Here is a 12918-nt window from a genome sequence, read left to right as displayed (position 1 = left end):
TTATTGGCTATAAGATTTGTAAATATATTCTCCCATTCGCAGGTGTTTTTTTTTTTCTCTTGACAGTGTCCCTTGACACACACATTTTCAATTTTTATGAAGTCCAGTTTATTTTTCTTTTGTTGTTTTTGGTGTCATATCAGAGAAACCATTGCCAAATCCAACTTCATATGGATTTACTCCTGTGTTTTTTTTCTAAAAGTTTTCTAGTTGTAGCTCTTAAATTTAGGTCTTGGGTCCATTTTGAGTTAATTTTTATGTATGGTATGAAGTAAGGGTCCAACTTTACTCTTTTGCGTGTGGATATCCAGCTGTCTTGGTATGAGGTCCATTCTTTATAAGCATACCGAAGCTAGACACTGTACAGTAAATATTAGGGGTCACATACTAAGTCTTTAACTGGCTCAGATAAAGAAACTGCTTACCAGGTTCTGCCCACACAGCCCCTTTGAAAAGTGCATCTTGACCTTTACTGGTCTTCAAAGTTTGAGTGGCAACCTGCTGTGTCTTTCTCTTTCAAAGCTGGAATGAATGGAAATAAGTTAGCTTAGTTACAGTAAGAAGGACTGTATCTAAATGCAAATACTATTATGCATTATTTAACGTTTAAAGAGCCTACTAAAAATGTCCACCAAGTCTCTTAAAATGTAGGGCAGATATTAATATGTCTGCAGTCACTTGGGGAGCTAATGAAAATACTTTTAATATTTCCTATATTCTGATGTCCAGAAATGGTAGGAAGTGAAAGTAGAACAGTTAATAAAGGTCATTAGTGCCACAGGCACTTTTCTACAAAGGTAGATAAATGGCAAAGAAAGGTCAAGCCACCAAGCTGATCCTTGGCTGCCTAGCCCTTCCATGCAAACAATGGGTCCAGGACAGACACTTCTCCAGGGCAGACACACAGTTTTTAGATTTGTTCACAAACTTAAGTGAGACCAATGAATCCAGTAACCATCAGAAAGCTTTTTTTTTTGTTTTCCTCCTTCAAGCTATAATTTTATTTTCATAAATCTGAAGAGAGCAAATTTTCATTAATTTTTGTTCTTCATTGCTTGGGCAAGGGGGTGGATTGCTTTATTATTTATTAATTCTGTGAGGCATTTTCAGAATGCCTACTATATGTAGGGTTTCAGGTGCAAAATGATTAAAAATGATCCTATAGCTTTAATAATTGTTTTTGCCTTCTTTATACATTTTGATAATATGTACACAGACAGACACATAGTCACCCTACCATATTTCAAACAGAATTTCAGGTAACCTTGCTATTAAAATCTTTAGACTTCTACATGTCTTGTTTCTACTTTACCTGGTTCCTTAAGATAATGAAGAATTTAGGGCAGCAGGAGGAGGAGGATTTCTAGAGAGAGAGAAAAAAGCCCCCATAGATGTCTTTAATGTTGAGTATTAAGGAAAACAATCTGAAGTATTATTAGACTTGAATAAACTCATGACATTCAGAATAAAAGTGAATCCATATTTTTAAAAAAAATGTTTAATTTTGAAATAATTTTAGATTTGCAGAAAAGGTGCAAAACATGGAGAGTTCAAGTATATCCTTTATCCAGCTTTCTCTAATATTAACAATTTACAAAGTCATTGTACAATGATCAAAACCAGGAGATTAATATTGGTATAATACTATTAACCACTGATTTTTTTTTTTTTTTTGATATTTCACCAGTTTTTTCCTAAAGTCCCTTTTCTGTTCCAGGATCAAACCCAAGATCTCCCATCACATTTAATTGATGTCTTCTTAATCTCCTCCCATCTGTGACAGTTATTCTTTCTTTCCTTGCCTTTTATGATAAGTACTTTTGAGAAATACTGGTCATTTATTTAGTAGAATTTCTTACTTTGGGTTTGTTCAATATTTTCTCATGATTAGATTGAGATTGTGAATGTTTTTGCTTATTTTTCTTAAACCACAAAATGCTTTTGTGTCTTCCTTGTTGCATTGTATCAGAGGATACATGAAGTTGATATGTCTTATTGCTAGTGGTGTTAACCTTGATCACTTGGTTAAGGTTGTATCCATCAAGTTTATATACACTGTAAAGTTACTATTTTTTCTTTCTAATTGATAAATATCTTTGAGGAGATACTTTGAGACTTTGTTAATATTCTGCTTCTTCTTGAACTTTTGCCCACTGATTTCATCTTTCATTGGTGAGATCTTACATGCAACAGTTATTACTCTGAGGTTTGCCTAATAGTGATTTTTTTATTTACTTCATTTCATCTGTATTTGTTAATTGGAAGAGCTGTCCCTTCTTTGTGTGTTTATTTATCCAATTATTTATATGAATATGTTTTCGTGGACATTTTACTCTATGGGTTATAAACTAGTACCATCATTATTTATTTTGCGGCCCAGATTGTTTCAGCCTTGACTTTGACCAACTTCCATTTGCTTTCTATATCTTTTTAATAGAACCCATCCTTTTTTGAGTACCTGCTTCTTTTCTGTGATCACAATATATGCCAGGCTTATCTTATATTGTTCCTGCTCCAGGCCTGGAATTAATGACTTCTTCATGGAGTCCTGGTCCCTTTTGTCAGAGAATGATATTTGGAAATCAAGACCTGGGCTCTGGGTATGCTTACTGTTATGATGATTGTCCTCTTAGCAAAGACATGTATGTATATGAACCCATGCATAGACACACATCTGTATTTATTTCTATATCTACCTATCTGTGTATATTTTCTAAACCAGAAGTTCATATTGACACTTCTATTTCCAATCCAGTGTGACACATTTCATTCTAGCTCTTCCCCTTTCTTCATTCATAAGTTTTTTTTCCTCAGGTACTGGGACACTTACACTATATTCACTTCAATCCCAGTAGACATGTAAAATAGTTTTAGAATTGCCAGTACGTACCCCTGTGAGAAACAGATTCGATAACCAGAGGACGTTATTTGCATGTTCCTTTTGTCTTCACAGTATCCAGTCAAAATATTGTTTTCCTAAGTTAGTAAGGTTAGTTTCTCCCGGCTCCTTCAGTGTTAGTTTATTGACTTGTAATGCAGTTGGATTTATTTGTTATAATTTATATTCTCTCCACATCTGGTTGGTTTTAATTAATTATAGTGCTGAGGAGTATATGAAACATTGCTATGGTTCTAATAGTCAAAGCTATATAAAAAAGATACATTCACGGTAGCTCATGCCTGTAATCCCACCACTTTGGGAGGCCGAGGTAGGCAGATCACCTGGAGTCAGGAATTTGAGACCAGCCTGCCCAACATGGTGAAACCTCCGTCTCTACTAAAAATACAAAAATTAGCTGGGTGTGGTGGCAGGTGCCTGTAATACCAGCTACTTGGGAGGCTGAGGCAGCAGAATCGCTTGGATCTGGGAAGCGGAAGTTGCAGTGAGGCGAGATTGCACCATTGCACTCCAGCCTGGGTGACAGAGTGAGACTCCGTCTTAAACAAACAAAAAAGATACACTCCAAGAAATGTTCTTCCTCTTTCTCCCTATTAACTCATTCCCATTCCCCCTCCTCTTTATAATACCCTGTTCCCACCCTTCCTCTATAGGTGTTTAATCTCTTAACCAAGATAAATCTTTGGTTTGTCCTTCCTACATTGATTTGGTACAGTTAATAGCTATATGAGTATTTTCTTATGCCCCCTTCTCTCATGTGTGAAGGGTAGCATATCATTGATACATTGTTTACTTTGCATTTTTCATTTAGCAGTATATCCTGGAAACCACTCCAAATCAATTCATAGAGATCTTTATCATTTAAAAAAATGGTTGCATAGAATTTTATTGTGTAGCTATATCAAAATTTATTCAAATGATGTATGTACACTGTATTAGTTTTCTATTGCTATAACAAATTATCACAAACTTAGTGATTTAAAACAACATAAAATTGTTTATCTTATATTTCTGAAGGCCAGAAGTTTGAAATGGTTCTCAATGGATAAAAATCAAGATGTGAGGGGGGCTGCATTTCTTCTGGAGGGTCTAGGAGAAAACCTCTTTCCTTGCCTTTTTTAGTTTCTAGAGGCTGCCTGCATTCCTTGGCTCATGGGCCCTTCCTCCACATTTAAGCTAGCAGCATGGCATCTTCATTTCTCTCTAATTCTGACTCTCTTGCCTCCATCTTTCACTTTTAGGACCCTTGTGATTACACTGGGCCTGGATAATACAGGATACTCTTCTTTTCCTATCTTAAAATCCTGAGCTGAGTCAGATCTACAAAGTCCTTTTTTGCCACGTAAGGAGATACATTCACAGGTTCTGAGGATTAGACATGGGCTTCTCTGAGGTCCCATTATTCTGCCCACCCCAGGTACTTAGGTTATTTCCAATATTTTGCTATTACAAACAGTGCTTCAATGAATAACTTTGTTCTTTCATATTTTTATATTGTTAGAGGTGTATCTTCAGGGTAGATTTTTAGAGTTGAGATTGCTGAGTTAAAGGCAAGTACTTGTTAGATATTGCTACGTTTCTCTTCAGAAGGGTTTATCAATTTGAAAGTGGCTATTTTCCCAAAGTCTCACCAACAAAGTATGTTGTCTTGCTTTTTAGTTTTTGCTAGCCTGACAAGCAAGAAGTGGTATCTCAGTCTTGCTTTAATTTGCTTTTCTTTAATTATGAGTGAGTTTGAACATTTTCTCACATTTGAGGGCCATTTATATATCTTGTTTTTTTTGTGAATTTTCTGTTTATTGGTCTCTTGTCTACTGTCCCTCAAGTGTTCTTTGAATATTAGGAGTATTGGCCTCTTGTCTATGGATATATCTTCCTAATATTTTATCTCAGATTGTCACTTGTTTACGGTGGTTTAAAAATTTTTACACCATGAAAAAAAGTTTAGTTTTATGTGGTCAAGTTACCAATATTTTATTTACTCTACATTTTGATTCTTGATGTAGAAAGCTTTTCCCTATACCACAGTTATCCTTGTTTCCTGTGGTACTTTTGTCTTCGTTCATTTTCTGTTGCTATAATCCAATATACAGACTGGGTGATTTATAAAGAATAGAGATTGATTTAGCTCATGGTTCTAGAGGCTGGGAAGTCTCCTTCCTTCTGCATCAGGACATGGCGGGAAGCATCATATGATAAGACAGAGCAAGCAAGCCCAAGAAAGCTTGGTTTTATAACAAAGCCATGATAACAAACCTACTCTCATGATAGGGACATTAATTTATTCATGAGGGCAGAGCCAGCATTTATTCATTCATGAGGATAAAGGATTAAGTTTCCCACACATGAACTTTGGGGGGACACATTCAAACCATAGCAACTTGTATAGCTTCATTTATTGACATTTAGATTCCAAATCCATTTGGGGTTTATTCTCATATATGATATGAGATAGGGATCTAGTTTTATCTTTTTCAGACGGCTACCTTGTGGTACCTATACCACTTATTAAGAAGTCTATCTTTACCCCCAGTGAGTTGAGATACTACCTGTATCACATACTAAGTCTCTGTATGTACTTGCATTTGTTTCTGGACACTCTAATTCACTGGTCAGTTTGTCTAGTCATGTACTAGTATTGTAATGTTTTAATTATAGACACTTTTTAGTATGGTTTAATGCTTGTTGAGGCTACTATACCATTGTAGTTTTTCTTTTTCAATGTTTTCTTGGATAATCTTTCATGTTTGATTTTCCACAGAAATTTTGGTATCAACATGCCCAAGTATAAAATAGTCTGTTGATATTTTTCATTGGGATTGTATTAACTTATAAGTTTATTTGTGAAGAACTATTGAGTCATTTTATTCAAGAATAGGAAATGTTTTTCCATTTGTTTAAGTCTATTTTAATGTCTTCCAGAAGCTTATAAATAAACTGTAGGCTAAACTAAAGAAAAAATGAAATTTTAAGTTAAATTTAAAACTGTAATATCTTGTCAGTAATTGGAAATATATTCTTATAGTTGGATTTCTTACCTAGCCAGCAAGAGGATGTGTTAGCAGTGGCTTAACGTCATGGTATGGCTACTGAGGGCTGTGGATTCATTCTTCTTTGTGTGCACTTGCAGGTTCACAGGCTTTGGAGTCACATATACCTGTGTCCGAACCTGACTCTATCACTTACTGGTTCAGTAACCATGGATAAGTGACACAGGCTCTCTGAGTCTGGCTTCTTCATCTCTAAGATGGGGAGAAGGATACCCAAGAATTGGTTCATGTAGCAGAGTAGATGCTCAATAGTGTTTCCCTCTTTTCTTTTCTTTTCTTTTTTTTTTTTTTTGAAACAGGGTCTTGCTCTGTCTCCCAGGCTGGAGTGCAGTGGCATAACCTTGGCTCGCTGCAACCTCTGCCTCCCAGGTTCAAGTGATTCTCCTGCCTCAGCCTCCTGAGTAGCTGGAATTATAGACGCATGCCACTGTGGCCCGGCTAATTTTTGTATTTTTAGTAGAGACGGGGTTTCACCATATTGGCCAGGCTGATCTCAAACTCCCGACCTCAGGTGGTCCACCTGCCTCGGCCTCCCAAAGTGTTGGGATTACAGGCGTGAGTCACCGCAACTGGCCTGTTTCCATCTTTTCTTGTCTGCTTTCTTTTCTCTTATTTGCTCATGATGACTACTCCATTTTTTCTTTCATCTCTAGTTTCATTATATACATAACCAGAGAGTAAGTTAAGCTAAATATTATCATACAAATACCCATTTTGTTTAGCCATATAACAATTAATATTATATCAAGCTGAAGTAAATAATGCTGATTTATTTCATCTAGAGTGTTGTGTATTGGTCTCAAGGTAAAAGGCTGTGCTTTAAAAAATGGAGACAAAATTTTATTGTTCATTTGTAAACGCTTATTTGATATACTGATGCCATTTCTAATCTTTCTCTGTGGTACAGGCCATAAACCTGTACTAGAAGTGAAACGTTTTAATTTTCTACTGTGGATCTGCCTTATTCCAAGAGCTATGCAACAGACAATAGTGTTAGACAAAGTTTCAGTATGAACAAATTAATTCATTTTTTATAGAGAAGCATAATCTAAAACATAATTTTCCCAACCCTGCCTGCTTAAACTGCTTATTGCCTTAATTATGATTTCAACATGATTTTGGTGACTTCTGTTAATTTCTTTTTCTTTTTTCTTTCTTTTTCCTTTTTTTTTTTTTTTGAGACAGAGTCTTGCTCTGTTACCCAGGCTGATGTGCAGTGGCACGATCTTGGCCCACTGCTCACTGCAACCTCTGCCTCCTGGGTTCAAGTGAGCATGTCAGCTAATTTTTGAACTTTTTTTTAGTATAGATGGGGGTTTCACCATGTTGCCTAGGCTGGTCTTAAACTCCTGACCTCAAGTGATCCACTTGACTCAGCCTCCCAAAGTGCCGGGATTACAGGCATGAGCCACTGTGCCCACCCACTTCTGTTAATTTCTATGTCTTGAGTTTATAGTGAGGTTGATTGCACAGATTGTATAATGTAGTGTAAACTTTTATACTTGAAAATGATCACCTTAAATGCTTATTTCAGTCACAAATAGAAAAATGAATAGGTACAATTAAGGCCAGTAATAGCAATTTTTCTTGCTTTTAAAAATAAAGTTTTAAAGTCAAAATATTATTTTATTATTTTAAAAGCAATCATTTTATCATCTTATATGCTTGGTTTCTAGGGTTTTTAAAGGTAAAAATTTCTCCAGGTCCCACTTCTCCTATGCTTGTTCTTAGATAAGAATTTGAAAAGCCATGCCTTAGAATGTTTCTGGAAAAAAAAGTTAGAATTTCATTATTCCAAGATACATTGGAGGTATTCCAAGATACACTGGGTAAACACTCTCATTCCAAATAGGAGAATTTGGCCAAAATAAAGGGGCTACAGGCCCCATGCATCTAAAACCCAGCAGGGCAGTCATTAAACCTTAAAGCTCCAAACTGATCTTCTTGGACTTCATGTCCCACATCCAGCGCACACTGGTGTGAGGGATGGGCTCCCAAGGCTTTGGGCAGCTCCATCCCTGTGGCTTTGCAAGGTTCAGCCCCCACAACTGCTCTCATGGGCTGGTGTTGAGTGTCTGTGGCTTTTCCAGGAGCAGGGTCTGAGCTGTCAGTGGATCTACCACTCTGGGTATATATATAAAGGGGAGTTTATTAAGTATTAACTCACACGATCACAAGATCCCACAATAGGCCATCTGCAGGCTAAGGAGCAAGGATAGCCAGTCCGAGTTCCAAAATTGAAGAACTCGGAGTCCGATGTTCAAGGTCAGGAAGCATCCAGCACGGGAGAAAGATGTAGGCCAGGAGGCTACGCCAGTCTAACCTTTTCACGTCTTTCTGCCTGCTTTATATTCACTGGCAGCTGATTAGATGGTGCCCATCCAGATTAAGGGTAGATCTGCCTTCCCCAACCCACTGACTTAAATGTTAATCTCCTTTGGCAACACCCTCACAGATATACCCAGGATTAATACTTTGCATCCTTCAATCCAATCAAGTTGACACTCAGTATTAACCATCACAGTGCCCCAGTGGAATCTTTGTGGGGGCTTCAACCCCATATTTCCCCTCTGTACTGCTCTAATAGAGGTTCTCCATGAGGAATCTCCCCCTGCAGCAGGCTTCTGCCTGGACATCCAGACTTTTCCATACATCCTCCAAAATCTAGGAAGAGGCTCCCAAGCCTCAACTCTTATCCGCTGCATACTCACAGGCTTAGCATCACATGGAAGCTGCCAAGACTTACAGCTTGCACCCTCTGAAGCAGTGACCAGAGCTGTATCTGTATCTGAGCTGTATCTGACCTGAAGCTGGAGCTGGAGTGACTGTGATGTGGGGGAACAGTGTCCCAAGGCTGTGCAGGGAAGTGGGGCTCTGGGCCTGGCCCAGGAAACCATTCTGTCCTCTTAGGCCTCTGGGCCTGTGATGGGAGGGGCTGCTGCAAAGGTCTCTGAAATGTCTTCAAGGCCTTTTCTTTATTGTCTTGACTATTAGACTTGGCTCCTCTTTACTTATGCAAATTGATGCAGCCTGCTTGAATTCTTCACCCAGAAATGGGCTTTTCTTTTCTACCACATGGCTATGCTACAAATTTTGTAAACTTTTATGCTCCCTTTTAAATATAAGTTCCAGTTTTAGGTCATTTCTTTGCTTGTGCATATGAGCCTAGGCTGCTAGAAGCAGCCAGTCTACATCTCAAATGTTTTGCTGGTTAGAAATTTCTTCCACCAGATACCGTAAATCATCACTCTCAAGCTCGAAGTTGCGCATATCCCTTGGCAGGGGCACAGTGCAGCCAGGCTCTTTGCTAAAGCTTAAGAGAAGTGACTGCTCCGCTTCCCATAGGTTTTTCATTTCCATCTGAGACCTCATCCACCTGGCCATCTCTGTCCATATCACTATCAGCATTTGGGTCACAACCATTCAGCAAGTCTCTAGGAAGATCCAACTTTCCGTCATCCTTCTGTCTTCCTCTGAGCCCTCCACACTCTTCCAACCTCTGCCCATTTCACAGTTCGAAAGCCACTTTCAGTGTGAACAAGATAATATGATTTTATAGCAAAATATAATCTAAAATAAAACTTTTTTTCTTGCCCCTCCAAATTTAGACCAGTTATTCCCTCAGAGAAAATTTCTACATGTCTTTGGTGGGCTTCTGTTAAATTCCATGTCCTGGACTTACAATAGAGTTGTCTATATACAGATTAGGCAATGAAACACTAAACCTTTGTAGTAGTACTTGAAAATGGCAGCATTAAATGCTAATATCAGTCATACACACACAGACACACACACACATAGTTACAGATGCAATTAAGAGTGGCAATAGCATTTTGCTTTTCTTTTAAAATTATGGTTTTAAGGTCAAATGTTACTATTTTTAAGCCAATTATTTCAAGATCCTATCTAACTTGGTTCCTAGGGTTTTTAGGGTAAAGTCTCCAAATTCTCCACTTCTCCTGTTCTTGAGTTATCACTTTAGGTGTGGATTTGCAAAGCAATGCTTCAGAATTTTTTTTTTTTTGAAAAATTTGTAAGAACAACATTAGAATGCTGTCTAGAGGTGTAATCAGACATGTTTATGTTATGGATAGAACCCCAAATAGAATATTGTAATACTAATTTATTTACTCAACACTTTTTAAAGCCCTGACAATATGCCAGGCCCTGTGCTAGTCAATAAGGTTATAAAGATAAAAACACAAGGTTCAGAAGTTCTATAATAATTAAATGTTCTGAAGTGTTTCAAATTATATCACATAGTGCTTTCCTTGGAAGAAGAACAATTTAGATTATGTTCAATAAACACAAATTTGGTGTTTTCTTTGTGTGTATGAAAAATTAGTGATGTCAGTTTAAGTTCATGGGTAGGTTCAGTTCAAGTATATTTACTGAAGACAAATTAGCAATATGGGGCCATTGGGTTAGGATTTTATTTATTATGGTAAGATAATTTTGTCATTTAGCATCTGAATTTTTGTTATATATGAGAACATTCATTTGATTGTCAATCATTGTACATGTTTTAGATGCCAAATTATAGAATAAAATTATGTACTCCAAAGTAAAAATATTAATTTGAAGAAATATTTACTTTGAGAAAATTTTATACATGAAGACCTCAAAGTTTTAAAAGCAATATAAAAGTGAGGGACTATGGGTGATTTTTCTTTCCTGAAACACTCTGCAATTACATTTTATTCTATAATGTACACAAACAAAAAGCACAGTGAGAGCTGCAACTGTAGACCTTATACCTTAACTTCATTTTTATTTTTAATATTTTTAAAAATTTCAATAGCTTTTGGGTACAAGTGGTTTTTGGTTACATGGATGAATTCTATAGTGGTGAATTCTGAGATTTTAATGCACCCATAACCTGAGTAGTGTGTCGTAGCCAATATGTAGGTTTTTATTAGTTCCAGAGTATATGTGTAGGATGTGCATTTTGTTACATAGGCAAACGTGTACCATGGTGGTTTGCTGTACCTGTCAACCCATCACCTAGGTATTAAGCCCAGCACGCATTAGCTCTTTTCCCTAATGTTCTCCCCCTGGCCCACCCTCCCCCAACAGGCCCCAGTGAATGTTGTTCCCCTCCCTGTCTCCATGTGTTCTCATTGTTCACCTCCCACTTATAAGAGAACATGCAGTGTTTGGTTTTCTGTTCCTGCGTTAGTTTGTTGAGGATAATGGCTTCCAGCTTCATCCATTGCCCTGCAAAGGACATGATCTTGTTCCTTTTTATGGCTGCATAGTATTCCATGGTGTATATGTACCACACTTTCTTTATCCAGTCTGTTATTGATGGGCATTTGGGTTGATTCCATGTCTTTGCTATTGTGAATAGTGCTGCAGTGAACATACGTATGTATATGTCTTTATAACAGAATGATTTATAATCCTTTGGGTATATACCCAGTAATGGGATTGCTGGGTCAAATGGTATTTTCGGTTCTAAATCTTTGAGAAATTGCCATACTGTCTTCCACAAAGGTTGAACTAATTTAAATTCCCACCAACAGTATAAAAGCTTTCCTATTTCGCCTCAATACTGCCAGCATCTGTTGTTTCTTGATTTTTTAATAATTTCCATTCTGACTGGTGTGAGATGGTATCTCATTGTGGTTTTGATTTGCATTTCTCTAGTGATCAGTGATGTTGAGCTTTTTTTCATATGTTTGTTGGCGGCATGTATGTCTTTTTTTGAGAAGTGTCTGTTCATATCCTTTGCCCACTTTTTGATGGGATTGTTTGTTTTTTTCTTGTAAATTTTCTTAAGTTCCTTGTAGATTCTGGATATTAGACCTTTGTCAGATGGATAGATTGCAAAAATTTTCTTCTATTCTGTAGGTTGTCTGTTTCCTCTGATGATAGTTTCATTTGCTGTGCAGAAGCTCTTTAGTTTAATTAGATCCCATTTGTCAATTTTTGCTTTTGTTGCAGTTGCCTTTGGCAATTTCATCATAAAATCTTTGCCTATGCCTGTGTCCTAAATAGTATTGCCTAGATTTTCTTCTAGGGTTTTTATAGTTCTGGGTTTTACATTTAAGTCTTTAATCCATCTTGAGTTAACTTTTATAGGGTGTAAGGAAGGGATCCAGTTTCAATTTTCTACATATGGCTAACCATTTCTCTCAGCACCATTTATTAAATAGGGAGTCCTTTCCCCATTGCTTGTTTTTGTCAGGTTTGTCAAAGATCAGACAGTTGTAGATATGAGTTTCATTTCCGAGTTATGTATTCTGTTCCATTGGTTTATGTGTCTATTTTAAAAATACCAGTACCATGCTGTTTTGATTACTGTAACCTTGTAGTATAGTTTGAAGTCAGGTAGCATGATTCCTCCAGCTTTGTTCTTTTTGCTTAGGATTGTCTTGGCTATGCGAGCTCTTTTTTGGTTCCATATGAATTTTAAAATACTTTTTTCTAATTCTGTGAAGAATGTCAATGGTAATTTAATGGGAGTAGCACTGAATCTATAAATTGTTTTGGGCAGTATGGCCATTTTTACGATATTGATTCTTCCTATCCATCTGCTTGTGTCCTCTCTGATTTCCTTGAGCAGAGGTTTGTAGTTCTCATTGAAGAGGTCCTTCACTTCCCTTGTTAGCTGTATTCCTAGGCATTTTATTTTCTTTGTGGCAGTTGTGAATGGGAGTTCATTCATGATTTGGCTCTCTGCTTGTCTATTGTTGGTATATAGGAATGCTTGTGATTTCTGCACATTGATTTTGCATCCTCAGACTTTGCTGAAGTTGCTTATCAACTTAAGAAGCTTTTGGGCTGAGTCAATGGGGTTTTCTAGGTAAAGGGTCATGTCATCTGCAAACAAAGACAATTTGATCTCCTCTCTTCCTATTTGAATACACTTTATTTCTTTCTCTTGCCTGATTGACCTGGCTAGGACTTCCAACACTATGTTGAATAGGAGTGGTGAGAGAGGGCATCCTTGTCTTGTGCTGGTTT

The 12918-nt window shown here is 37.1% G+C and overlaps 1 protein-coding gene across 3 annotated transcripts in view; it reads left to right on the top strand.

Moving 5' to 3' along the window:
• The window catches only part of PLGRKT (plasminogen receptor with a C-terminal lysine), an 80407-nt gene that overhangs the window by 20752 nt on the left and 46737 nt on the right, over nucleotides 1-12918 (top strand). The gene's annotated exons all lie outside the window — the stretch shown is intronic.

This window comes from Homo sapiens, chromosome 9, assembly GCF_000001405.40.
Source record: "Homo sapiens chromosome 9, GRCh38.p14 Primary Assembly".
Lineage (NCBI taxonomy): Eukaryota > Metazoa > Chordata > Mammalia > Primates > Hominidae > Homo > Homo sapiens.
Note: the sequence above shows the minus strand (reverse complement) of the source record. Positions and strands in the feature narration are given on the sequence as shown.